Source organism: Homo sapiens, chromosome 3 (assembly GCF_000001405.40).
Source record: "Homo sapiens chromosome 3, GRCh38.p14 Primary Assembly".
Lineage (NCBI taxonomy): Eukaryota > Metazoa > Chordata > Mammalia > Primates > Hominidae > Homo > Homo sapiens.
In genome coordinates this window covers 52,333,187-52,360,608 of record NC_000003.12, presented here as the reverse complement: position 1 = coordinate 52,360,608, position 27,422 = coordinate 52,333,187, and the positions used below count along the sequence as shown (strand labels likewise).

The following is a 27,422-nucleotide window of genomic DNA, read 5'->3' as shown; positions in this document are numbered from 1 at the left end:
TGCCCGAAGTCACTCCGCCTGTGATGGGCAGAACTGAGGTCTGAGCCCAAAGCCCTTGGTCCTAACCCTGTACTGCTCTGATGGACTAGATCACCCCAGAGTGGCCATGGTCCCTGGATTCCTGGGCCAGAGAGAACTAGAGGGAGGGTCTCAGTGTGGGAAGGAGCAAGAGGGGAACGCTTACCTGTCGGTGAGGGGCGTGATCACCAGCCTCCCACTGTTGCCCAGGTACTCATAGCCATAGATGAACTCAGCATTCACAGCACGGATATACAGGTCATTATTTGTCCAGTAGTACCTGGCGGTGCAGGGAGATGAGGGCCTGGCCATGGGGCAATGGGCCACTGGGCAGGGTATATAGTCAAGGAGAGAGGGTTCTTTTTGGGAATGAGGGCATTAAGGTACCCATACCCAGCTTGTCCCAGAACCTCAAGGACAGAGACCAGCTTATTGCTAACTGACTTTTCTCTTTTCCCCTGCCCCTTCCTGGCAGCTGCTCTGGCCCTGGGGGCGCCCCCCATGTCCTCACCTCAGCTGTGAGATCCACTGGAAGTCATTCACGCTGACCACGTTCTCCTGGATTAGCTTGCTCACCACGTCCTTGGCATGGACCTCAATGACGATTAGCGCTGACAGCACTGCCCGCTGCATGCGGGACAGCTTCCCCCGCACAAGGGCCACCAGATCACTGAGCTGCAGAAATGGGGTGCACTGTCAAACATCAGGGTACCACGAGGAGGCTCACCCTCCCCTTTCACAGAGGGTGGGCTTCTGCCACAAACAGTCCCTCTATCCTGGGGGTCTCTGATGGTCTGAGTTGGGAGGGGAGCAGGGACCGGGCAGGGGAAGGAAGGAAGTAGAATAGAGGCACATGCCTGGCGTCTGCCTCCCTGCAGCATGTCGTGCTGTCTGAACCCTTAAAGCCGGGAGGGGGAGCCTGGCAAGGCACTGGAGCACAGGGCAAGGGGTGCCTGTGGTACTGTGCAGGAGGGACCAGGCGCGTGGCTCCCTCACTGACCCTTGCAGAGGGGGCATCGCCTCAGGCCCGTCCTTCCTGTGGGTGGCTGGTTGTGAGACACTTCAAGGGTGTCTGACCTCCCCTTTAGACCCAACCCCAGGCCTCTTCCAGGCTCACTATAGGAGAAAGCTTCCGGAGGGACTGGGCCCTCCTGTGCCATGTAGGGGGTGGAGGGGGACAGACAGGGGTCCTCTTGACTCCAACCTGCTGGCAGAGCTGGGGGAACAGTTGGCTTCTGAGGTTGCCGGCCTCCAGAGCCTCTGCCACCTCCATGGTCCAGTAGGTCTGGCACCCAGCGATGGTCACCTGGCCAGGCCAGTTCAGAACCCACTGGGTCCTGGGCATCTGGGAAGACAGCATGGGCAGGCTGACCTGGACAGCCGCAGCCCCAATCCCATTCTTTCTTCTTCCTCTGAATGCTGTCTGTGCTCTGGCCTTTCAGACTTGGCTCCAGTTGTTGATGCCACCAGTCCCTTCAGAGCAGGGAAGCCCTTATGCTCTGGGCTTCTCAGGGTGGCAGAGATATCTCTGAACTGACTCTGCAGGCTGGGGAGTCACCTAGAGCCCAGCTGCCGGTTATGGTCATGGAGCTGAGAGAAAGACTGCAGGAGAGGGCCCAGCCTGGAGCCTGGCACCCAGTGAGTGCTGGGAACCAGAACAGCCATCCCGATGATTAGGAGTGAGTCCCACTTTCTGGAGTGTGTGTGGAAAGGAAAGACTCCAGAATCCCGCCTGAGCCCCCAGGGACCTCAGGGCTGCAGCCTGAGGACGAGGCCGGCTAGAGCAGGAGGGGCACTGAGAGGGAGCAGAGGGGTGCAGGGGTGGAAGGCTGCACGGGCTGCGGGCGGCTCACCGTGGGGTAGGCCCTGATGGCCTTCTCAATGATGTCGTGCACACTGGCCTTCATGCTGCGCTCCACCTCCCGCAGCCAGTCCTCCACGTTGCTGGAGGGGTAGATGGAGAAGCACAACTGTACCTCCTCCCCCTCGGCTGAGTACATGTGCGTGATCTCCAGGTCCTCCTGGAATAGCAGCTGCAAGCAGTGGAGGAGCAGGAGTGGGGTCACCCTGGTGTGCCCAGATGCCCTGGCCACCACAGCCCCAGCGCTAAGCCTGCCCGGTGCCCTCCACCTCAAGAAGAAAGCCCTGCCTTCCCGTCCCCCCGAGAGTCTATCTTGGCTGGGCCTTCCCAGGCTGGATGGCCTGCCTTCTCCCCAGCAGTGGTCAGGCCCCAGCCCAGGCCCGGCATGAAGCAGGCTTTAGGGAAGGAGGCTGACTGCCTTGCATGTCCCCGGCCTCCTGCATAGATGAGGGAAGACAAGGCAGGCCACAGGCTTCTGGCCTCATGGGTTTTGCAGTGTGCTGGGGGCACAGGGAGCGCCTGGTGAGTTGGAAATCCAGGGCCCTCAGCCCTGAGCTGGGGATTCTGCAGTTGACCTTCCTCCCACAGGCCCCAGGTGTGTCTCCAAAGACCAGGAATGTCATTTGCCACATTTCCTGCTAAAAGGGCTCATCACAAAGGGAGGGACGTTCTCCCTGGGAAGATGCCCCATGCTCCCAGCCCTGAGCCCCGGGCCCAGCTGCCCACCCGAGCGATGTTCTCGAAGCACTTGCGCAGGTGTGGCTGCACGGCCGTGGGGTCCTTTGTCTGCGACAAGATCTCTAGTAGTTCATCATCTGACAGGAAGTAGAATCTGCCAGGGGAACAGGGGTGAGGAAGCGGGTCGTGCAGGCTCCCTGGGCCCCAGCTGCCCCAGTCCTGCTGACATCCCCGCACCCTAGCCTGAGCAGGGCCCTGGACACCTCAGCCTTGTGGGCAGACAGTGGCGGAGTGGGCATGGCCAGGTGGCGCCCACCTGGGGAAGGCGCTCCTCTTGGTCTCCAGATACTCGCTGAGGCCCTTCTGCACCAGGTCCAGAATCTTGTTGCAGTCCCGCAGGCTGTCCAGCATTCTCAGGTCGGAACACACATTGATCACCTGCAGGGCCCGGGCCATGCACAGAAATGGGCAGTGAGCATGGTCCAGGTAGCAAGATAGGCTCATCCCAGAGCACCCACACCAGCCAGAGCCCCTCAGCGGGGCCTGGGAAAGAAGATGCAGAAAAATTCTCCCTGAGCCAGTGGCTGCAACCATCAGCCCCACAGAAAAAATTCTACGGTCAAACAAGTTAGAGTTAAACAAAGCTAAAGAGTTTGCTTTGCTGCAGGACTTGTCAGAGCTTCTAAAATGCTAATATGGGCCGGGCATGGTGGCTCACGTCTGTAATCTCAGCACTTTGGGAGGCTGAGGCAGGTAGATCACCTGAGGTCAGGAGTTTGAGACCAGCCTGACCAACATGGTGAAATCCCGGCTCCACTAAATACAAAAGAAAATCAGCCACGCGTGGTGGCGCATGCCTGTAATCCCAGCTACTTGGTAGGCTAAGACAGGATTACCCTGTCTCAGCCTCCGGGAGGTGAACCAGGGAGGTGAAGGTTGCAGTGAGCCGAGATTGCACCATGGCACTCCAGCCTGGGCAACAAGAGCAAAACTCTGTTTCAAAAAAAAAAACAAAAAAAAAAAAACAGACAAACAAAAAAAAAACGTTAATATGGGCTGTGGATCTCCAAGAGAAAAACCGTCAGTGACTGTGCCTCTAAGGAGCAACTCTGAGGCTGGGGAGCCCACTCTGGAGGACATGGTTCAAGATCAAATCCTCAGGCTTGTCCACCAGCCTTTTCTGTGTAGGGAGGGAAGAGACTAGGAGGCTACCAGCAATGTGACCAGGGCCCTTGGGGATCCCAGCTGCCCCTCCCACCCTCATTGAGCTTGCCTCCCGGTTCTCGTAGGCATTCTTCATGATCTTCTTCCAGATCCGCTCCATGGTCTGGTAGCGCTTGCTCTCCACAGGCAGCTGCTGGTTGATGTCCTCAGAGCTAAAGATGGGCTCCAGGTAGAGCCAGGACCGCTGACAGTTCAGCCACTCCTCCAGAACCTCCTGGGGAGGGGAGGGGCAGGGAGGGGTGTGATATGGACTGTCAGGGTCCAAGCTGGGGTTTGTCCCAATGACTGGGACATTTCACCCCACCAGCATGTTGGGCAGAGCACTGGACACCAAAGCCAGTGTCTACAGGGAGATTTCTAGATGGTGCTGTCATCTGTGATACTCCAGGGAACAAAGAGGATACAGGGATGCCTGCCCTCCAGAGAAGTCCCACATCCCCACAGGACGCCCAAGCCTCCAAAGGAGCCGGGGGAGCTGCTCTTCCAAAGGGAGGAACACACCCACGCCAGCAAAGCCTGCAGTGACAGGAAACACTCGGTGCCTGGGAGACAAACCAGCCTCCTTCCTGGAAGGACTTCTGGGTCCATGACCCCAGGATTCTCTGAGATTCAATGGGTCTTGAGTGTGAGAGTCCTAAAATACTCTCTGAAACATGAGTCCAAGGGTGAGACATCTTCAAAATGAGCCATTTCCCCCTTCTGCCTCCAAATTCCCCATTCAGGATGTATCTCTTGTCTTCTCCCATCAGCGCAAACTCACGCACTCATCCATTTCTTCCTCATGGGATGGGGGTCACAGTCAGCAGTGTCAGGACTGTGCCAGGCCCTGGGAGGCACTAGGGGAAACAGGGGAATGCGGCCTGGTCCCTTCCCTCGAGGGGCCCACAGCCCACTAAGGGGCCAGTTCTGCCCCTGAATCATGGGCCCGGCATGTGTAGTGGACTCTGAAAGAGGCACCGACAATGGCCTCGGTGGGAACCCCTTGAAGGATGGTGAGGGAGAGTCGGCAAGGCTGCTTGTTGCTGGGCCTTGGAGGAGATGGAAGGCGGGTGTCAAACTCCAGGTCGAGTGGACAGCGTGAGCAGAGGGGGACTGGGGATAGTGCTGACCAGCTCAGGCATCTCTGGGTGGTCCAGGCACACAGATGAGCCCTCCCCACCTGCTTCTGGCCTTCGCCGGAGGTCTCTGAGCAGCTATCAGGGAGGCCCGGGGAAGGGGATATCACACCTGCAGGCTGGCCCCGGGACTGCCCTCCAGGGCTCTGTGGGCAGCCCTTGCCTCTAGCCTTGAGAGCCCAAGACAAGTGCAGTCCCTGGTGGCCCAGTCCCCTCAACCAAGGTAGCTCCAAATGAGATGAGAACAGAAGCTCAGGACAGAGTGGGAAAGGGCACTGAGGTGCTCTGGGACCTTGGGACATCCGGCCCAGAAAGTGTCAGTACTGGAGGACCTGGTTGTCCCAAGCTCAGGCAGCCCTGGGGAGGCCGCCTGGCAGTTCTCAGGCCTATCCTCAACCACATTTTGGGACCCAAATGCTGCCCCTACGCACCCTTATCTGCCTCATCCAGTAGCTGAACCTCATGGATGGAGAGCCCATCCTAGTTGCCCTCCTCTGAATGCAGTAGGGCGGGGCCTGCCAGAGAGCCAGGGGCTGTGTGAATGAGGGCAAGGCACTGCGATGCTTTGAACCCCACCCGGAGACCATCAGTGACACCTGTGGGTCGGGCTCTCTGAAGTGGGGGAGCGATGAGGGAAGGACTGGGGGGAGGGCCGACCTGGGTCAGCTTCAGTTTGTTCTCCCAGGAGTTGATGCGCTGCTCAAAGGGCTTCTTGTAGGGTGAAAATGACATATTCTGGGTCATGACGATGTGGTCGTCCAGCAGCTGTGAGGCCTCGTCCGGGCTCTTCAGGATGTAGGTGTCTGTCGCCTTGTAGGGCAGTACATTGAACAGGATGGTCGACCACTCCTTCTCCATCTTGTCCAGTGCCTGGGGTCGGGGACAAGCCAGGCTGAGTCCTGGGAGGGGCTGGTCCTGATGCTGTCTGACCAGCCCTGCCCAGGGAAGCAGCAGACAGTACCTGGCCATGACCTCCACATGGCCGCTCTGGCAAATACTCTCGGCTTGTCTGGCAACAAGTCCCGTGTGAGCCCCTCATCTGAATTCAGGGCCAATTCACTCTTTTTTTTTTTTTTTTCTGAGGTGGAGTCTCGCTCTGTAGCCCAGGCTGGAGTGCAGTGGCACAATCTTGGTTCACTGCAATCTCTGCCTCCCAGATTCAAGCAATTCTCCTGCCTCAGCCTCCCGAGTAGCTGGGATTACAGGCATGTGCCACCACACCCCACTATTTTTTGTATTTTTAGTAGAGATGGGGTTTCACCATGTTGGCCAGGCTGGTCTCGAACTCCTGACCTCAGGTGATCCACCCGCCTCGGCCTCCCAAGTGCTGGGATTACAGGCGTGAGCCACTGTGTTCAGCCCAGTTCACTGTTACACATGTGCTGCATGTGGTTGTACGCACATGTTGGGAGGCAGCTAAGGTTAGGAGGAGTGTGGGCGCTGGTCTCACCTCTGGCATTTACTGTGTCATCCTGGCCAGTTGCTGAACCCTTCTGAGCCTTAATTGATTTATCTGTTTTTTTGTTTGTTTGTTTTCTTTTGTTTTGTTTTGAGACAGGGTCTCAGTCTGTCTCCCTGGCTGGAGTGCAGTGGCATAATCACCGCTCACTGCAGCCTCAGCCTCCCAAGAAGCTGGGACCACAAGCATGTGCCACCATGCCTGGCTAATATCTTAATTTTTTGTAGAGATGGGGGTCTCCCTATGTTGCCCAGACTGGTCTCAAACTCCTGGGCTCAAGCGATCCTTCCTCCTCATCCTCCCAAAGTGCTGGGATTTACAGGCATGTGTCACTGCACCCGGCCTGACACATCTGTTAAATTGAGGCTAATGCTATTAGCTCCTTCCTGGGGCTCTTGAGAGGAGTAACTGAAAAATAATAGCAATGGTGGACACTGTCAAGAATTTTATGTGCATTATTAACTCACTTAATAGAATGCATCTCAACCCCTGGGCCTCATGACCCCAGGGATGGGGCTTATTACTGTCATCCTCCCAAGTGGCTGTGGTTGCCAGAGCAGGAGGTCAGGCTGTCCGGCAGGGCCTGGCTGGAGTGGCTGGGCCCGCTGGTGGCTACCCACCTGCTCGATGGCGTACTCCTTGCCAGCCACCTCAGCCACCTTGCTGATGCTCTCGATATGGTCCTGCAGGTTCATCTCCAGGCAGCGAGCAAAGGTCAGGTTGGCCTTGGGCCTGACATTGATGTTGATCTGGTTGGACAGTGTCTCCCAGTGCCGGATCCGCATGCCAGGGTTGCGCAGCCCCTGGATCAGTGGGATGTATGGTTTGAACTCCTCGATGCGGGCCCGGATGTCCAAGGCCACTTCCTGGCAGGCTGCCGGGTAAGACAGAAACGCATGAGAGGCAGGCGGCAGAGGCAGGGAGGAGGGGATTGGCCGGCTTGGCTCCCTACCTGGCATGTCCTTAAACTGCTTCACGCACTTGTGCATGGTCTTGAAGGCTTCAACCACGTTCTTCTCCAGCTGCTCAGCATCGATGGCAGAGAGGGGGTCATTCATCCAGCTCTCCGACCAGCGCAGCCAGTCAGACGCTGTGGTCCAAAGGTCCAGGTAGGGTTGGAACTCCTTCACCATCCTGGAGAGCTTGTCATACTGCAGGGACAGGAGGGCAGGGCTGGGGCTGTCTTGGGACACTTCCCAGTCTCTCTCCATGTTGCCCCTTCTTGGGCCAGGTCCTCTCCCTCTCCCTTGCTCCTGGCTGATGTCCCTGACCGTGCCCCCAAACACCTGGGCCTGGCCTCCCTTCTTCTCTTCCCACCTGAGATCTGGGCTCTGAGCTGTTGCACCAGACCTGGGCTGACCCTCAGGCCACCTGCCTTGTACTAGGGGCCTCCTCAACCTGAGGGCCAGGGTTGGGCTATCTCCACTCTGCAGCCTGCTGGGTCCTGCCCCCAAATGCCAGAGCCCTGCCTCCTGGCAGCTGCATCTACATGAGCTGCTTCCTCAAGCCTGGGGGCATGGGGGCAGGGTGCCTGCAGGAGGCCTACATTGGTGATGGGCAAGCTGAAGATGCGCTCGCGGTTGTTGTAGAGCATGGCCAGCTGCTGGCAGTCCTTCAGCTGCTTCTTGACACGCCGCACCTCGTTGGCGATCTCGTGTGCACGTGAAATCTCCACATGGATGGAGAAGCCAGCTACTACCAGCTGCAGGCCAAGGAGCAATGGGTCAGATGCCCCTGCAGCCCCACTTGTGTCCAGGCCTTCCCATGCAAACCCAGGGAACCAGAGGTCCCAGGACGTCCACTCCTCCGAGTTCTAAGGAGGTTGTTCTCCTGGAGTGAGCAGGTTCCTCACAGCAAAGCCAGGGGAGACCCAATGCACTGACACTGTGCCCACTGCCCAGTAGGCCGCCAAGGACACAACAGAAGAGCTGGGGACTTTACTACTCCGAATCTTTCTGGAGCTTGCTGCCCAGGCATCTCTTTGGCCTTTGCGTTCATTCTTTCAGCCATTTATTCATTCATCCATCTGCCCGCCCATCACATGTTGACTCAGCACCTCCTGAATGCAAGAAGTGAGGCCAGGCCCTGGAGAACTGTGCGTGCGTGTGGTGGGGGCTGTGTCCAGCACCAAGCCTGCAGCTGTGCCCCACCTGCAGCCCTTCCAGCTTCTCTTGGAAGTTGTTCTGATCCATGATCTGGATTTTGCGGAACTTCTCCTCATCCTCCACATGCTGCTGCTGCACCAGCTCTATCTGCCCAAGGATCTTAGAAGGCCAGTTGCTGGCAATCCATCTGGCCGGGATGGGGGTGGGGATTGGGAGAAATATCGCGGCTGAAGTGGTGGAGTGGCAAGACCAGGCAGGGGCATCCCACCAGGCACCCAGGCAGCCAGTGAGAAGGGGTTCAGGGGAAATCCAGGCAGCTGTGGAGGCTACCTGGGGCCAGACAGCTGCGAAGTACAGGTGAGCTGGGAGGCGCGACTGCCACCATCAGGGAGGCTGCCCTGCCCCCTGGGAGCTGCAGTCTGCATCCAGTGAGATGCAGACCCAAGGTGCCCAGTGTAGTGATGGGGACCAAGGGGAAGTGAGAAGAGTGAGGCCAAGTTCCCCTCTTAAGCCTCAGGGGCCAGAGGGGCCTTTCCTCAGAGGAGGCAAAGCCACAGTCTCTAGCCAGGGCCCTCAGGCCAGCTGCCTTCAGGTCAGACCAACTCCCTTTGCCCAGCTGACATAGGGGGTCTGTGGGATGTGGGGCTTCCACCTGCAGCTGGCCTAGGGATGCTGGTCGTGGGGGAGTTCCCCCTGAGCACCCAGATGCCCTGTCTGCCAGTGTCTCCCTCTCCTGGGCAGGGCCCTGATGGTCCTGACTCCCCCAACATCTGTGAGGCAGCACTGGGTGTGGGGTCTCTGGCGGCCTCAGTAAGGCTTGGCAGGAAAAGGGCACCTAAGGCTGTTTCCCACAAGGCTTTTGACTTGGGTGGGGACAAATGCCCCTCTCCAGGGACTGCCCACCAGGCTGAGCTTTGCCTCTCTCAGTGCTCCCAAGAACCCCAAAGGGCACCAGCCACAAACAGGAAACCCTAGGTCCACAGTAAAATACGTGTGTCAGGCTGGGCGCGGTGGCTCACGCCTATAATCCTAGCAGTTTGGGAGGGCGCGGCGGGTGGATCACCTGAGGTCAGGAGTTCGAGACCAGCCTAGCCAACATGGTGAAACCCCATCTCTACTGAAAATATAAAAATTAGCCGGGCATGGTGGTGGGCACCTGTAATCCCAGCTACTCAGGAGGCTGAGGCAGGGAGAATCACTTGAACCCTGGAGGCGGAGGTTGCAGTAAGCTGAGATCGTGCCACTGCACTCCAGCCTGGGTGACAAAGCAAAACTCTGTTTCAAAAAACAACAAGCAAAACATGTGCCAGGCCATTGACAGGACAGAGACAGGGTTGGGGAGCAGCTGAGGCCAAGAGGCCCAAATGAATTCCTTCGGCCACCTGGCCCTGGCTGGTCCCGGCCCATGTGTGGAGCCCTGGCCTCTGAAATCTCAGTGGGGTGTTTCTGGGGAGATTGCACAGACTGTGGCAGCTGGGGCATTTGGGAGCCTCTGCAGCTCAGCAGCTCCCCTCATGCTCCACCCCGCACCTGGCATGGGGGCCAAGCTCCCACTCACTTGTCATTGAAGTCATCTGAGCTGAGGTTGTAGAGGAATTCATCCATGACCTGGTAGTCATCCATGACCTTCACAATCCGCTCCTGCACAGACAGGTGGTAATGAGAACTTCACGTGTGCCAGGGAGGTGGTGGGTAATCGGAACCTGGCTCCCCAGAGACGGGTACTAGAGAGGGGCTGCTCTCTTTCAGAATGGGGAGGTCTGGGCCAGGGGAGGAGGCCCAGGGTGCAAGGGCAGCATCAGGCTCAGGGCTCCTAGAGCCATGGCTGCCACACCTCCAGCTTCCAGCTCCCCCCTACCCCCAGACAGCAGAGCTCTGAAGCCCCGGCTCACAACCCCCTAAACCCCATCTGTCCTCTGTCCAACTACCTTACCCTCAGCCTCCTGAGTCCGACCTCCCAGCCCCTGCCTGCCCCAGCCCTCGGACTCTTAACACCAGCCCTGTGCCTCCCTGGCCCCAGTGCCCGTGTGCCTGCCTCACCTCCAGGCCCACCAGCCTCTCCGGGATGCCCTTCATCCACTCTCGCAGCTCAGCCAGCTCCTCAATGCTGTTGGGCTTCTCATAGATCTTGCGGCTGATGCTGCGGAACTCCTCGCAGATCTGGCAGTGGGAGGAGGCGCTGGGGAGGGCAGCATGCTGCTCCCTTGCCTTCCCTCACCTGCTCTTCCTCCTTGGTCTCCAGCATCTCCCGACAGGTAACTGTCCCCTCCACCACAACATCCTGCGGCGCTTTCCAAGAGGGGTGCTCCTGGTGGGCTCCCTGGGTTGCTGAGGACTGTCAGTGGGGCAAGGGTATGACCCGGCACACCTCACCCTTCCAGCCTCCTCCAGCCCTACCAACACACGCAGGGCTTCTGAGGCCTGCACTCGAATCCCCTAGCTCCATGAAACAAGTCCGTCAAGGGTGTCCTTCGTGAGGCTTTCCAGGCCTCTAAGAGTCTAGGGAAGGAGGTGGAAACCCCCGTTTCCTGGGACCTCCCATACAGGACAGCTCTCTGCAGACAGGCAGGGATGGGGCAGGGTGATTTCCAGCTCCTTCCCTTGGCCTGGGCATCCACAGACACCCCAGACCCTGCTTGGGGACATCTTGCCATGTATGTGAGGGTCCGTGTGTGCTGCTGTGGTGTGTGCTGCTGTGGTCACTGAGGCGGGGCAGGTGGGCACTTACGCTATCCACCTCCTTATGCAGGTTCTTGGCAAGGATGTCCAGCACGGAAGTGGCCAGGGCCTTGCGTTTCTTGGACAGGCTCTGCTTGACATTGTCGGTGTTGATGTAGAAAGGCCCAATGATGATGCTGCTGGGCAGCGAGCTGTCCAGGATCTCCTTCTCCCGCAGGTGGGTGAGCACTACCTCCCGCACCTCCTGGGCCAACAGGCCCTGCGTCTGGTAGGTTCTGAGGACAGCAAGCACACGGGAGGGGGCAGAGGATGGTGAGCAGGGTGGGCAGGGGATACACATGCACAAACACACAGACACCCTCCGACGTGCATGGGCACACGTACGCACTTGAGAAAGGAGGCAATGTCATTGTTGTTCAGCTCCAGGTACTTTCGGTACTCCTTGGCGTAGGCCTGCAGTGGGATCATGGCCTTGGACACGGCACTGGCAATGGTGGCCCGTAGCTCTTCCACCAGTGGCTCATGAAGGCCCACGGACTCCAGCAGGGGGTCACCGCTGATGAAGATGTCCTCCATCACCAGCTGCAGAGGGAAGGCATGTGGCAGGGCAGACCTGGATGAGCCAGGGGGTGAATGAGCAGAGGGGAGATGGGGAGTCCTCCCGAGGAGCAGGGCAAGCAGGGGCAGGATGTGGCCTGAAGCCTAGAGGGTGGCAGGGTGACCAAATACAAAAGGAGGGATGCAGCGGGAGAAGGGGGTTTGCTGTGCTGTCTCTTTACAAGGCCAGACGCCCCTGTGAGGCCCACCAAGGGGCAGCATCTTCCTCTGCCTGGGCATGACTCTGCCTGGGCCTGACTCAGCCCAGGACCAAGAAAAGGTGCAGAAAAGACAGCTGGGTCATGAAGGCTCTAACTGACCAGCAAAGGCGACAAGAAGGGCTAGGGCTACAGAGGCTCTTGGGTCTGGAAGTGGGCTGTGTGCAGCTGGGTGTGTGTGCAGTGGCAGTGACTGGTGGGGACGTTGGACAGAGGGTCTGTATGTGGAAGCCGGCCTGTGTCCACCTCTGGAGATGAAGAGAGAGGCCAAGAGCTGGGTGGGATCAAGAGCGTGGGGTCTACATCAGATCTGGCTGTGGCAGCAGAGGACCAGCAAGCCCAGGGTTCAGATCGCAGTTCCAACACTTAGCAGCTATGCAATCTTAGGCTAACTATTACACTTCTCCAAGCCTCACCTACAAAATCTGACATTAGCAGCTACACAATCTTAGGCTATTACACTTCTCCAAGCCCCACCTACAGAATGCGAGTGTTAATAGGTCACAGTGCAGCTTGTGATGAGGATTAAATGGGATATTTGAGATTTACAGGGCTGAGCATGCTGCCTGCCCGACAGGAGGCCTGTGATACAGTTGAACTGTGGCAGCACCCTGAGCTCAGGGAGCCATCAGCAGCCAGGGCAGCAGGTGCCTGGGGCCTGCTCAGGCTGCAGCACGTACCTTCTCCAGCTGGGGCACGGCATGGGTGGCCAGGATGCCCTTGTCGAAGAGGTTCAGCAGAGATGCCTCAAACTGCTCCAGTGGGGTGCTATAGTGCACCCCAGAGCTGTCCAGCACCAGGTCCATGATGAACAGGGGATTCTTCCGGGGCCTGCAGGCAATGGCGAGCTGACTGTGGGCAGAGGCCTAGGAGGCCTGTGTGCAGGAGCAGCCCTCTGCCCTTCCTGCCAGCGCTATGACTCTTGAGCCTCTCCATGCACAATACTTGCCTTCTCCTTCGTCCCACACACCTCCAAGTTACCAGAGAGGAAGACCCAGGCCAACCAAACAGGTTCCTCTGCTCCTCAGGTGACCTGAGGTCCATGAGCACCACACGAGAGGGAGGCCCCCCACCCCTGTGCTGAGGTTGCCAGGGCCTAGGCATTGTAGCCCCCACTCTCTCCCCGGGAGCCCATCTTCCTTGGCTTCCCATCTTCGCTACACAGCAAGAACCAAGCCTGGATCCCAGCTGGAACCCTCTGATGGCTTCTGACTGTACTTAGAATAAATCCAGCCCCCAGCTGAGACCTCAGGAGGCCCCAAGAGATCTGGCCTGGTCCCTGCAAGCTCTCCCACTCCATCCTGAGCAGCCCTCCCTCCCCTCCCTGACTCCAGCCACACTGGCCAGCCTTTCCTTCCTCAACTGCGCCAGGCCTATCCTCCCCTCGGTGCCTCTGCCCATGCTGATCTCTCCGCCTGTACCTGCCTCCACCTCACATCGCCTCATAACTTGTTTCTTCTTACATCTCAGGTCTTGGCACAGATGCCACCTCCTCCCTGACCCACCCCCAGTGTCTATCATGGCCCCTGCCAAAACCGGCAATGACTGTGTGTATGTATTTATCTGCTTGCTGCCTGTCTTTCCCATGAGACCAGGGACTGGGCCTCTCTTGTTCCCCTAGAACCATGCCTGGTTCATGGCAAGTGTTCAAAGAATATTTCTCCACTGAGTAACTCAATGATTGAGTGAATGAAGGTCACCAGAAGCAATGCAAGCCAGGGCTGGCAGGACATTGCCCAGCAGCCTGCAGGGAGCTCGGCTCTCCTTACTGCCTGGGACCTGGCATGGATGGGCACCCTGGCCCTGGTCCCTGACCCTGCTCCATCCCCAGCAGGTGACACATCACCTGGTGTCAACAGGTGCCTCCGCCCCGCCGGGCCCCACCTGTAGGGGCTGTTAATTAAGTCGTCACCCCAGACCATGTCATCGGTGCAGTTGAGCACGCTGCAACAGGTGTCGCTGATGAACTGTGAGAAGCTGGCAAGTGAGTCCTGCACCAGGAAGCGCAGTGTGTCCTGCAGCATGTACTTCACCAGCTCCATCAGCTTGCGCAGCTTGGACATGAGGTACACCTCCCAGTTGGTCTCGTAGAGGTTGTACCAGCCCTTGCTCATGTCGCGCAGGCTGCTGCGCATGGCCACCTTTAGCGAGCTGATCCAGCTGTCCTTGAGGAACATCTGCACCTAGAGTGGCCACAGGCATCATCATATGGCCACCCTGGGGACCCACGACCTATAGCTGCACTCAGGGACTCTATGCACCAGGGTGCTTGGGGCGGCTCAGGGCTCATCTGACTGTGGAGGGATGTCCCCTACCCCAACTTACTGCCAAGCCCTGCCAACCAACAGCCTCATGTGACCCTGGGGGCCCAGAGCTGCTGGGCAGGGAAGGAGGGAAGAAAGGAGGGAGGGAGGACAGGACAGCAGAAGCAGGACTTTCCCTCCAGCCGTGAGCGAGAGACAGAGACCCAGAGATTGAGATGAGAGAAGCAGAGAGACAGAGAACAAGACAAAAATGGGCTGAGAGGGAAAGATAGAGAATAAGGTGGAGAGACAGACAGAGACAGAGTTGAGTGCAGAGGGGGTGCACCCCCACCTCCCTCATACCCCAATCCACAGGTCAACATGGGGGTGCCTGAGGTTCCTGCTCCCCCTTCTAAGACAAGGGATCTGCTTCAGAGGCAACCAGAGTTGGGATGGAAAGGGATTGGAAAGAGAGCCTGCCCTGGTTTTCCCTTTCTCTCCAAGATGAGTCATTACCCTTGGTCCCCACCCCAGCCTCCAATAAGGTCTAGGAAGAGGCTGAGGCCAGGTTTTGAGAAAAGCAGGGGCTCACAGCCTCACCATGTGGCCCACTGACCCTGGCCTTCCGCTGCAGCCCCGACCTGTGCCTGCCAGTTCCAAGGGTCTGCCCTGCGTTTGCCCCCTGTGCCCTTGATGCCCACAAACCTGGGAGAAGGTCTGTGACTGGATCTGCTCAAATTCCTCCAGGTGGCTGTACTTGGAGAGGCTCGAGTGGAACAGGGACATGGCGGTCACCTTGTTGCACTCGGCCCTCACCTTGCTGAGGGCCGTGATGACCTCTGGCCGTGTGAGCAGGGACACGAAAGTGAAGTCCTCCTTCTGCTCCCAGAAGTGGTACTTGGGGACACTCACCAGCCCTGCAGGGATAGGGGCCAAGGGCCAGTATCAGACCCTGCCTGGCCAAACCAGGGGACAGGACAGATCCACAGGGTGCTTGAAGGAGGGCCATGACTCCTGCCTTCTCCCTGAAGAGTGACTGGCGTTCCCAGAGCCCCGCCTTTCCATAGTTTGCCGGAGTGGCACTGAAGCTCTTCAGTGAGGTGCCTACTCTGAGATGGGTAAAGGAATTCCTTCCAGGACCCCCTAGTCACAGGCTCCTCTGAGAAGTAGATGAGAACCAAGAACCCTCTCCTCATCCACTCCTGCCCGTGCTGCACACAAGCTTAAGGTCTGTCCACAGCCTGCCCTGGGGCACCAAGGAAGGAAAGGGTAGGTACCAGAACCTCTTGGAATGCCCACTGTCCACACCCCAGCCTGCATCCGGAGTACATGACATGCAGGAAGCTGAGTCTAGGAAGGCTGGCAGGTGAGCTGAAAGCAAGGAGGGTTCTTGGGCCCCGGGGTCCTGCTCTGAGACTCGGTCTCCTCTCTTGCTACTGGAGGAAGAAGGACTATCCTCTAGGTCTGATCAGCAGAGCCCCTTCCACCTACTGCTGAAGCATTGTTTCCTAGTACACATTCACCTTGCAACTTCTGTGCTATTCTCACTAATAAGTTCAAAAAGAGCCTTCTTCCCTTCCCCTGGTCCAGAGCCCTCCAGGCAGCAGGGAGAAGTGGGACAAGTGCTGGAGACAGGGGAGGTGCAGGGAGTGTTGGGCTGATGACGCCCACAATGGCAGGGCAGACAATCCTGGAGGGGAAGGTGGGAGGGGGCTCTGGCCAGGTGGATGGCCATGGAGCCCATCTTGGTCCAGTGACCCTCACCTCGCTCAGGCACCTGCTCCTCCTCCTTCTTGGGGAGGGTGACGTAGGAGAAGGTCTCGGGCTTGGAAGAGACAACGTGGTCAAAGTTGATCTTGTTCATGCTGCGCTCATAGTCCAGGCTCACTTCTCTGGCAAGACTGCTGAGGTGCTCTAGAACCCTGCCCATAGAGATGGGAGATGGGGGAATCAGGGGCTCCACACCCTGTGAACCCCAGCCGGGGCCCAAGCTCTGCTCTGGCATGGACCTGGGGACACGCATTTAGGGCTTCCCTTCTGGATTCATGGGCACACCCCCACCCGGCCCTGAGCCACTAACCTCCAAGTGCACCTCCTCTGCTTCTTTCCCCCTTGTCCCCATTTTCTGTCCCCCATTTTCTGCCCCTTGTCCCCATTTTCTGTTGCCAGTCTCTGGGAGCCAAGGCAGGCCCCAGAGCAGTGGGACGGGGTGCAGGAAGTCCTGGGCCTGGAAGCCTCAGAGAGCTGCCACTCACAGCCTGCACCTCCCCTGCAGCACCCCCGCCTGCTGCCCCATGGTGCAGTGGAAGATGCCTGCCACTGAGCTCCTTTGCTTTCACTGGGCAATCATGGCAGCGCCTGGAAGGTGCTGAGAACTCAGGATGTGCCCATGACTGGGCCTGAGGGTGGGTGACCCCTGCACTTCACTTTGAAACTGGGCTCCGAGATCGGAAATCAGCAGACCTGGGGTGAGCGTGCACACCATCTCCCCCGTCCTCACATAGGCAGACCCCTTGGAGGCCATTTCACTCACTCACTCACTCGCTCACTCACTCCTCAGCACACGTTGCCTATGCCGCTGTGTTCCGGCACCTGGCTTGCTCAGGCCTCATCTGAGCCAGCTGGCATCTCTGTCCTTTGCGGACAGGCCTTTCTGTTCCTTGAGTTGGTCTCTGCCATCGATCTCTCCCTCCCTCCCACCTCTGCCACATCTGAATAGTCCCTTTAGCCCTGGTAATGGCACCACAAGGGAATCTCAGTTTCCTGCAGCCCACACTTGCACCAGAGCTGCGGGATGTTGGAGAACTTCGTAGGCAGGGGACTGGTCTCACCTTCAACACACCCTCAACCTGGCCTAGAAATCTACTCACTCCCTCGGAACCTGGAAAAGACTCTCTCTCACCTTCTCTGCCAACTCACAGACACACCCTCCCTCACTGGGTGAAGTCCCTCGAATTTCATCCGGAACTCAGAAGCCATTGGACAGAAATGACCCCATCTTCACACCCCGGAATCTCCCTGCCTTCTGCCAGGGTAGAAGGCATGCCCTGCTCTCAGGAAAAGCCCAGCAAGCTCAGCCACCTCAGTCTCTTTGCCTTCCCTCCCACGCCCTCCCAGGGGTCCCCACACACTCTGGTATGTCCCACATTAGAAGCCGCCCCTTGACTTCCTTCCCTCCTTTGACTTTATCTCTTTGTGTTTCTTTATGAAAAACTGGTGTGCTCACTTCTTCCCATCCTCATCTCTTCCCTCGCTACCCCTGAGGCCACTCCAGGCTCTGCCTCATCTCACTGGACTCTCAGAGACTTGGCACAGTGGCTCCCTCCTATTCTGCTGCACCGCTGTCCTCACGGAGCTTCTGGGACACCCTTCCCCTGGATCTTCCTCACCTCCCTGACTTCTAAACGTTGGCCTGTGCCAGGGGTCCTGAGACCCCTCGTCTTCCCCAGCTATACCTCCCACCAGGTGAGCTCCTCCAGCCTCGGACTCTGAACACCACCTGTTCTATTCAGCCAGAACCCTCACACCTATCTGCAGTTCTCTCCCTTCATTTATCCACCAGCCCACTCAACACTGACACTGGATGCCTTACAACGTGTCAGAACCAGCATGTCAGAAGGCAAGCTCTTCATTTCTCTCCATCCCCTGTTCCTCGCTTGCCCCCTATCCCCACTAGCCTCCTTGTCTCTGAACAGCATTGCACACACCCTACTGACCAAAGCCCTACGGAGGGGTCCCTGGTCTCTTCCTGCTACTGGATGTGCAACACCATGACTGGGCCTGAGGGTGGGTGACCCCTGCACCTGATCCTGAAACTGGGCTTTGAGATTGGAAATCCCCAGACCTGGGGTGAGCTTGCATTTAGTCCATTAGCAGCTCTCATTGGCTCCACCGCTGAGGAAACCTCAAATATATCTCTTTCTCCCGTGCTGCTCAGCTACTATTCTGGTTCAAGCCACCATCATGATCTCTGGCCCTGATTATGGCATTAGTCTCCTCATTGATCTCCCTGCTTCCACTCTTGCCCCCTTACAACTCATTCTCTACTTGAGTTGGAAAAAATATATTTTAAACATGTAAACGATCAAGCCACTCCTCTGCTCACCACCACCCATGGCCTGCACAGACTGTCGGCCTGTGGCCGCGTCTCTGCCCCTGCATGTGGTCCAGCCTCCCAGACCAACATCTCTCTCTGCATCCCAACCACAGTAACCCTGCCCTGCTCCTCAAGTACCACAAACTTGTCCCTACCTCAGCCTCTGCACTGCTGCTCCTTCTGCCAGAATCCTCTTCTTCCCTTACTTTAGACCTCAACTCAAATGTTATCACCACTGTGAGAAAGGCTTTCCCTGACCGCCTAATATAAAGAAGCCCTTCTGAGACATCTCTATTCCCTTCTCTCGCTTGGTCTTCACAGCACTTATCAGAACCCTAAAAACCCAGATTTTTCATTGTCTGTCTTTCTGGCCAGGCTGAGAGTCCCCAGGGTGCAGGCTCTTTGTTGGAAATGTTCACTCCTCTGTACCCAGTGTCTGGCACAAGATGGGTACTTCCACACATGGCTGCTTGCTGGCCTGACATCCACTCCCTCCCTTCTTCCTCAGTTTTGTTCCAGAATTCCATCCTTCCTCACTTGACTCAGGGGAAGATGACTACAGCCCCAGCTACAGGGGTACATCTCAGCTAGTCCAAGCCAGTCGTGGTGGAGCTTGCCCCAACTGCAGTTGGTTTAGGTGTGGGAACACGTCCCAGTTATGATCAACCACTGATGCAGATATATAAAAGTCAAGCCCTTTGCAGTGAGCTAAGATTGCTCCACTGCACTCTAGCCTGGGGGACAGAGCAAGACCCTGTCTCAAAAAAAAAAAAAAAAAAAAAAAAGTCAAAGTCAAGCCCTCTTGTTCTGGCTCCCTCCAGGACAAATACGGTGGTGCCATGCTTGCTCTAGAGTTTCCCACAGGATCAGGCTGAGACTAGACTTCTAAAACCATATTTTACCAGCTGCTTCTTCTATTATACCCTGCTTCCTTCACTTCCTTATAGATTTCTCCTGAGAGGATTTCATAAATCGCTTGCACAAGAGTCCCCACATCAGGGTCTGCTTCTACGGAACCCAATCTAAGACAACCTTTGTTGTGGTCATGAAACTGCTGCTGCCATCTCGCCTGAAGATGAAGCCAGCATACACTGCAGACAGGGCCCTGATGCACCAACCCTGGGGCGTCCTGCATTGGTTTTCCTGCTACAGGTACAGGAATGCACTTCCCTGCTGTCTAAGACAATCTGAGACCAGCATCTTTGATACTTAAAGCCAAAAACATTATAAATTGAATAAAATTCAAGAAACAGACTTCTGGACAGCCAAGGTAAGGTGGCTATATCGATTCAAATTTCCCAACACATCCTAGGAAGGAAGGAAGGAAGGAAGGAAGGGAGGGAGGAAGGAAGGAAGGAAGAAAAAACTAACACTACCAAAACCCACACCTTTAGCACAACTAGAATCAGCAGAATGCCTAGACTTCAAATTATCTGTAAATTAAAAAAAAAAAATCTATCTCCAGTGAGCTGTCTCTCACACTCTTGCTGCAAGTTTTCACAGAGAACAAGGGCAGTCTAAGAAAAACTGCAGAAAAGGGAAATAGTGGTAACCCTAAGATAGATCTAAAATCCTACCAGAGGCCGGGCACAGTGGCTCATGCCTGTAATCCCAGCACTTTGGGAGGCCGAGGTGGGTGGATCACCTGAGGTCAGGAGTTCAAGACCAGCCTGGCCAACATGGTGAAGCCCCGTCTCTACTAAAAATACAAAAATTAGCTAGGCGTGGTGGTAACCACCTGTAGTCCCAGCTACTCGGGAGGCTGAGGCAGGAGAATCATTTCAACACAGAGGGCAGAGGTTGCAGTAAGCTGAGATCACACCACTGCTCTCCAGACTGAGTGACAGAGCAAGACTTCATCTCAAAAAATAAATATAAATAAATAAATAAATAAATAAATAAATAAAATCCTACCAGAAAGAGAAAGTAACCCAGGCTGGGCGCAGTGGCTAATGCCTATAATCCCAGAACTTTGGGAGGCCAATGTGGGTGGATGAATTGAGCCCAGGAATTCGAGACCAGCCTGGGCAACAAAGTGAGACCCCCATCTCTACAAAAAATAAAAAAATAGCGGGTGTGGTGGCACATGCCTGTAGTCCCAGCTACCAGGGAGGCTGAGGCAGGAGGATTACTTGAGCCCAAGAGTTTGAGGCTGCAGTTAGCTGTGATTATGCCACGGCACTCCAGCCTGGGTGAAAGTGAGACCGTATCTCAAAAAAAGAGAAAGTAACCCTAACTGTAAAAATACTGAAAAAAAGCCCTGGTAAATCAGAGCACTTACTACAAGGAAGGGACTTAAGGGCATGCAATTCAAAGGCAGTGTTCTTTGAAAGGCATATGACTTATGGGACAGGAGGCAGAAGGAAAGGGGTCATTTGTAGACTGGAGGATAAGGGAAAAGAAGCAAAAGTGAAATGTTGAGTTCTGCAAGATAAGAGGACAAAAACCTTGGAGGACCCACATCCCTCTCCCCAGCACGTGTGTACACACACACACACACACACACACACAGACACACACACAGAGCACATTCTAAAAACAAACAAACAAAAAAAACTAATGTGCAATACTGACAGAAGAGGGCGCCCTTGAACTAGAAAGCTTGCAAATCACTCCAAATCCTGAAATGAATAGGTGAACACCGTCTACATTTGCTTCTATAAGAAAAAGAGAGCATCTTTTAGCTTTGTTTGCACATTTGAGAAGACAAGAGCATCTTAACTGATAAAATTCCCATCACCCCTAAAAAAATAAACAAGTACCAAGCAGAAGAAAACTGTAACACAATACTTCAGCTAAATAGCCTTAAACGAGTGTTTGGGCATCTGAAAAACCACCTTGAATCAGAAATTCAAAAATAAAACATATAAATGGACAAATGTCGGTAAGAAAAGAGACTTAATTAAGCTCAAGGAAAAAATGGAAAATAAAAGTATCACGGGGAGGAAGCTGAAATTACAAGGTGACCGAGAGAAAACAGAGTCAAATCAAAGCATAATGAAGTAAATTGAAGAAAGGCAGGATATAACCAAGAGAATAAAAATGAGAGAAAATAAAGGAAGTAAAAGAAAGAAAATAAAATTTTAAAAAATAAAATTAGAAAAAACTAAAAAGGGTCGGAAACTGGTTGAATTAAAAGATACGCAAAGCAGCAGCAATATATAAAAAGATACATAGATACATAGAGATATAGATACATAATGGAATCCTTGATGAAGAAAAACAAAAGAATGGAACAGAACCAAGATTTAAAACTATAATTCAAGGGAATTTTTTTTTTTTTAGACGGAGTCTGGCTCTGTCACCCAGGCTGGAGTGCAGTGGCACAAACTCAGCTAACTGCAAGCTCTGCCTCCTAGGTTCAAGCAATTCTCCTGCCTCAGCCTCCCAAGTAGCTGGGATTACAGGCACCTGCCACCACATCTGGCTTTTTTTTTTTTTTTTGTATTTTTAGTAGAGATGGGGTTTCACCATGTTGACCAGGCTGGTCTCAAACTCCTGACCTCAGGCGATCCACCCACCTCAGCCTCCCAAAGTGCTGGGATTACAGGCGTGAACCACCATGCCCGGCCAACCTCAGACTTCTTAAAAGCATCACACAGGCAAGGCAACCAAAGTGGAGAATTTTTAAAAAACTCATAGAATAAAAGTTGTGAACTAAGAATTTTATATCTGGTCAAGCTGTCCTTCACGTTTTAAACGTGTGAGAACTCAAGGAACTCTATACCCTTGAGCTCTTCATGAGGAATCTACTAGAAAAGGAACTTTATACAACCAAGAGATGACGGGAGACTTCAGAAAAAATATTGATACGTTTAATAGAGTTTATTGTAAGTTGAAGACTAAAAGGTGGAGATGAGTGTGGAGGAATAGTAATAATATTTTAACAGTTAAAATATTAAGTAGAGGCTGGGCACAGTGGCTCATGCCTGTAATCCCAGCACTTCGGGTGGCCGAGGTGGGTGAATCATTTGAGGTCAGGAGTTCGAAAACAGCCTGGCCAACATGATGAAATCCCTTCTTTACTAAAAATACAAAAAATAGCCAGGCATGGTGGTAGGCGCCTGTAATCCCAGCTACTCAGGAGGCTGAGGCAGGAGAATAGCTTGAGCCCGGGAGGCAGAGGTTGCAGTGAGCAGAGATCGCACCATTGCACTCCAGCCTGGGTGACAAAACAAGACTCCATCTCGAAAATAAATAAATAAATTAATTAATTAAGTAGAGCTGAGCATGGTGACTCACTCCTATAATGCCAGCACTTTGGGAGGCTGAGGTGAGCAGATTGCTTGAGCCCAAATGTTTGAGACCAGGCTGGGCAACATAGGGACACCCTGTCTCTAAAAAAATACAAAAATTAACCAAGCGTGGTAGCTCACACCTGTGGTCCCAGCTACTCAGGAGGCTGAAGTATGAGGATAGCTTGAGCCCAGAAGGTCAAGGCTGAAGTGAGCTATGATTGTTGTGCTACTGCACTGTGGCGTGGGTGACAGAGCAAGACCCTGTCTCAAAACAAAACAAAACAAACAACAACAATGAAACAGGACAGATACTAAAGGGTTAAGTAGGAAAGCAGGGGATAATGGAGACTATAAAAGAAACCACTAAAATAACGGTACAGACCTTCCTAAATGCCAAAAGGAATTTTTAAAATAGAAGAACTAAGAAAACATATAATGTAGAGAAAGAAACATAGCATTATATTACAATACACATAATGATTATAATATGAAGCAATATGACTGAGTTGAGGTCAAACCTATTAGCCATACCAATAAATGTGAATGGGCTTATTACAAGAAAAAGGTTTTAAATTTGGCTCACAAATAAAACCCAAACTATATGCTGAAAGTAAGAAACTGATCTAAAATGAATTAGTTTAGAAAGGCTCAAAATAGAGGGATTTCTCAGGCAAACGGAAATAATAAAATGTCAGGTTGCTACGCTGATATCAAACAAAGTAAAATGCAGATCGAAAAGCATTAGAACTCCATCAAAAGGCCTGGAACTGATAAACAACTTCAGTGAAGTTTCGGGAAACAAAATCAATGTACAAAAATCAGGAGCATTTCCATACACCAATAATGTTCAAGCTAAGAGCCAAATCAAGAACACAATCCCATTTACAATTGCCACACACACACACAAAATACCTAGGAATACATTTAACCAAGGAGGTAAATGATCTCTAGAAGAACTACAAAACACTGCTAAAAGAAATCAGAGATGACACAAACAAATGGAAAAACACTCCATGCTGATGGACTGGAAGAATCAATACTGTTAATATGGCCACACTGTCTAAAGCAATCTACAGATTCAACACAATTCCCATCAAACTACCAAGTCATTTTTCACAGAACTAGGAAAAAATTAGCCTAAAATTCATATGAAACCTAAAAAGAGCCCGCATAGCCAAAGCAAACCTAAGCAAAAAGAACAAAGCTGGAGGCATCACCTTATCTTCAAACTGTACTACAAGGCTACAGTAACCAAAACACCATAGTACTGTTACAAAAACAGACACATAGTCCAATGTAACAAAATAGAGAGCCCAGAAATAAAGCCACACACCTACAGCCATCTGATCTTCAACAAAATTGACAAAAATATGCAGTGGGGAAAGGACTCCCTATTCAATAAATGGTGCTGGGATAGCTGGCTAGCCATATGCAGAAGATTGAAACCGGACCCTTACCTTTCACCAGAAACAAAAATTAACTCAGGATGGATTACATATTTAAATTGTTCTTTTTTTTCTTCCTGAGAAAGGGTCTGACTCTGTCACCCAGGTTGGAGTGCAGTGGTACCAGTGCGGCTCACTGCAACCTCCACCTCCTAGGTTCAAGTGATCCTCCTACCTCAGCTTCCCAAGGAGCTGGGACAATAGGCGCGCCCCACCATGCCTGGCTAATTTTTTTATGTTCTTTGGTAGAGATGGGGTTTCACCATGTTGTCCAGGCTGATCTTGAACTCCTGAGCTCAAACCATCCACCTTGCTCGGCCTCCCAAAGTGCTGAGATTACAGGTGTCAGCCATCTTGTCCAGCCAGGATTAAAGATTTAAATGTCAGACCTCAAACCATAAGAATCCTAGAAGAAAACCTAGGAATCACCATTCTGGATGTTGGCCTTGGGAAAGAATTTATGACTAAGTCCTCAAAAGCAATTGCAACAAAAACAAAAATTGAAGAGTGGGACCTAATTCAAGAGCTTTTGCACAGCAAAAGAAAGTATCAACAGAGTAAACAGACAACCTGCAGAACTGGAGAAAATATTCACAAACTATGCATCTGACAAAGGTCTAATATCCAGAATCTATAAGAAACTTAAACAACTGTACAAGGAAAAAAATGAATAATTCTATTTAAAAAATGGGAAAAAGGGGCCGGGTGCGGTGGCTCAGGCCTGTAATCCCAGCACTTTCAGAGGCCGAGGTGGGCAGATTACTTGAGGTCAGGAATTTGAGACCCGCCTGACCAACATGGAGAAACCCCGTCTCTACTAAAAATACAAAATTATCTGGGCGTGGTGGCACATGCCTGTAATCCCAGCTACTCAGGAGGCTGAGGCAGGAGAATCACTTGAACCCAGGAGACAGAGGTTGCAGTGAGCTGAGATTGCGCCATTGCACTCCAGCATGGGTAACAAGAACAAAACTCCATCTCAAAACAACAAAAAACAAAAAACAAAAGGGAAAAAGAGCAAAAGGGCCGGGTGCGGTGGCTCACACCTATAATCCCAGCACTTTGGGAGGCCGAGGCAGGTGGATCACCTGAGGTCAGGAGTTCAAAACCAACCTGGCCAACATGGTGAAACCCCGTCTCTACTAAGAAATACAAAAATTAGCTGGGTGTGGTGGCAGGCACCTGTAATTCCAGCTACTCGGGAGAGAAGCAAAAAAAAAAAAAAAAATCACACATTGCTTTTTTTGTTTAAAAAGCAAAAAAAAATCACACATTTTTTTAAAAAGCTTATAGATCATGCCTGTAATCCCAGCACTTTGGGAGGCTGAGGCAGGTGGATCACGAGGTCAGGAGATCGAGACCATCCTGGCGAACATGGTGAAACCCCGTCTCTACTAAAAAATACAAAAATTAGCTGGGTGTGGTGGCAGGCACCTGTAATTCCAGCTACTCGGGAGAGAAGCAAAAAAAAAAAAAAAAAATCACACATTGCTTTTTTTGTTTAAAAAGCAAAAAAAAAAATCACACATTTTTTTAAAAAGCTTATAGATCATGCCTGTAATCCCAGCACTTTGGGAGGCTGAGGCAGGTGGATCACGAGGTCAGGAGATCGAGACCATCCTGGCGAACATGGTGAAACCCTGTCTCTACTAAAAATACAAAAAAATTAGCCGGGCATGGTGGCGGGCGCCGGGGGGCGGATCTTGCAGTGAGCAGAGATCACGCCACTGCACTCCAGCGTGGGCGACAGAGCGAGACTCTGTCTCAAAAAAAAAAAACAGAAAGAAAGAAAAGTTAAAGTAAGCTAAAGTTAGTTAATTAATTAATTACATACATTTTTCTGAGACAGTCTCACTCTGTCACCCATGCTGGAGTGCAGTGACGCAATCTCAGCTCACTGCAACCTCTGCCTCCCAGGTTCAGGCGATTCTAGGGCCTCAGCCTCCCAAGTAACTGGTATTATAGTCGTGTGCCACCACGCTCAGCTAATTTTTGTATTTTTTTTTAGTAGAGATGGGGTTTTGCCATGTTGGCCAGGCTAGTCTTCTACTCCTGGCCTCAATCAATCCACCCACCTTGGCCCCCCAAAGTGCTGGGATTATAGATGTAAGCCATCATGCCTGGCCCTAAGGTGTGTTGGGTTAATTTATTATTGAAGAAAGAAAAATTTAAAATAAATTTAGTGTAGCCTAAGTGTATACAGTATTTATCAAGTCCGCAGTAGTGTATAGTAATATCCTAGGTCTTCACGTTCAGTCACCACTCACTCACTGACTCAACCACCGCAACTTCCAGCCCTGCAGGCTCCATTCATGGTAAGTGCCTTACATAGATGTACCATGTTTTATCTTGTATACTGTATTTTTACTGTACCTTTTCTATGTTTAGATACATGAATACTTGCCGTTGTGTTACAGTTGCCTGCAGTATTCAGTAATCACAGCCTGTATAGGTTTGTGGCCTAGGAGCACTAGGCTGTACCATATATCCTGGGTGTGCAGCCAGCTATATCATCAAGGTCTGTGTCAGTACACACTATGATGTTTGCACAATGATGAAATCACCTAATGACACATTTCTCAGAACATGTCCCTATCATTAAGTGATGCATGACTATAAAACTACAGATGCTCCTCTACTTACAGTGGGGCTACATTCCAACTAAACTTATCATAAGTTTAAAATGCACTTGATACACCTAAGCTACTGAACACCATAGTTTAGCCTAATCTACCTTAAATATGCTCAGAACACTCACATTAGCCTACAATTGGGCAAAATTATGTAACACAAAGCCTATTTTATAATAAAGTGTTTAAAATCTCTTGAAATGTATTGAATACTGTACTGAAAATGAAAAAAAAACATTGGTTGTGTGCATGCTTGAAGTACAGTTTCTACTGAATGCATATCACTTTCACACCATCATAAAGTTGAAAAATGGTAAGTTGGCTGGGCATGGTGGCTCACACCTGTAATCCCTTTGGGAGGCCAAGGCGAGTGGATTACCTGAGGTCGGGAGCTCGAGACCAGCTTGGCCAAAATGGTGAAATCTCATCTCTACTAAAACTACAAAAATTAGCCAGGCATAGTGGCGGGTGCCTTTAATCCCAGCTACCCAGGAGGCTGAGGCAGGAGAATCTCTTGAACCTGGGAGGCGGAGGTTGCAGTGAGCCAAGATCAAGCCACTGTACTCCAGCCTGGGTGACAAGAGTCAAACTCCATCTCAAAAAAAAAAAAAGAAAGAAAGAAAGAAAAGAAAAGGAAAAGAAAAGAAAAAGAAAAATGGTAAGTCAAACTATCATAAATTGGGGACCATCTGTATATATATTTCCCAGATCTGTCTGCTGTGGGAGTCTCAAAGCAATGATATCCCAGTAGCAATGAGCACATCTAATGCCCAGATCTTGGCTTCTAAATATAATTCCTCAACTAAAAGGAACTTC

At 52.8% G+C, this 27,422-nt stretch overlaps 1 protein-coding gene across 4 annotated transcripts in view, besides 2 other annotated features; it reads right to left on the bottom strand.

Annotated features, from left to right (window-relative positions):
• DNAH1 (dynein axonemal heavy chain 1) overlaps window positions 1–27,422 on the bottom strand; it is an 89,573-nt gene that overhangs the window by 39,884 nt on the left and 22,267 nt on the right. For all 4 annotated transcript variants that reach the window (XM_017006129.2, XM_017006131.2, XM_017006130.2 and 1 more), the window contains 20 exons: window positions 15,962–16,119; window positions 14,903–15,114; window positions 13,839–14,137; window positions 12,635–12,785; window positions 11,528–11,721; window positions 11,189–11,414; window positions 10,501–10,620; window positions 10,019–10,101; window positions 8,506–8,647; window positions 7,902–8,057; window positions 7,308–7,506; window positions 6,976–7,229; window positions 5,554–5,766; window positions 3,831–3,995; window positions 2,874–2,995; window positions 2,606–2,711; window positions 1,872–2,051; window positions 1,223–1,363; window positions 530–693; window positions 185–298 (listed from right to left, as the gene is read on the bottom strand). In XM_017006129.2, the coding sequence (XP_016861618.1) occupies window positions 185–298; window positions 530–693; window positions 1,223–1,363; window positions 1,872–2,051; window positions 2,606–2,711; window positions 2,874–2,995; window positions 3,831–3,995; window positions 5,554–5,766; window positions 6,976–7,229; window positions 7,308–7,506; window positions 7,902–8,057; window positions 8,506–8,647; window positions 10,019–10,101; window positions 10,501–10,620; window positions 11,189–11,414; window positions 11,528–11,721; window positions 12,635–12,785; window positions 13,839–14,137; window positions 14,903–15,114; window positions 15,962–16,119 (3,399 nt within the window). The remainder of the gene's footprint in view (window positions 1–184; window positions 299–529; window positions 694–1,222; window positions 1,364–1,871; window positions 2,052–2,605; window positions 2,712–2,873; window positions 2,996–3,830; window positions 3,996–5,553; window positions 5,767–6,975; window positions 7,230–7,307; window positions 7,507–7,901; window positions 8,058–8,505; window positions 8,648–10,018; window positions 10,102–10,500; window positions 10,621–11,188; window positions 11,415–11,527; window positions 11,722–12,634; window positions 12,786–13,838; window positions 14,138–14,902; window positions 15,115–15,961; window positions 16,120–27,422) is intronic.
• Window positions 8,191–8,986: an enhancer, noted in NCBI's record as "H3K4me1 hESC enhancer chr3:52385639-52386434 (GRCh37/hg19 assembly coordinates)". NCBI's record gives its function as "activates a minimal SCP1, AML or CMV promoter by ChIP-STARR-seq in primed H9 embryonic stem cells {active_cell/tissue: H9 hESC(primed)}" and the evidence as "EXISTENCE:reporter gene assay evidence [ECO:0000049][PMID:30033119]".
• Window positions 16,555–17,056: an enhancer, noted in NCBI's record as "H3K4me1 hESC enhancer chr3:52377569-52378070 (GRCh37/hg19 assembly coordinates)". NCBI's record gives its function as "activates a minimal SCP1, AML or CMV promoter by ChIP-STARR-seq in naive H9 embryonic stem cells {active_cell/tissue: H9 hESC(naive)}" and the evidence as "EXISTENCE:reporter gene assay evidence [ECO:0000049][PMID:30033119]".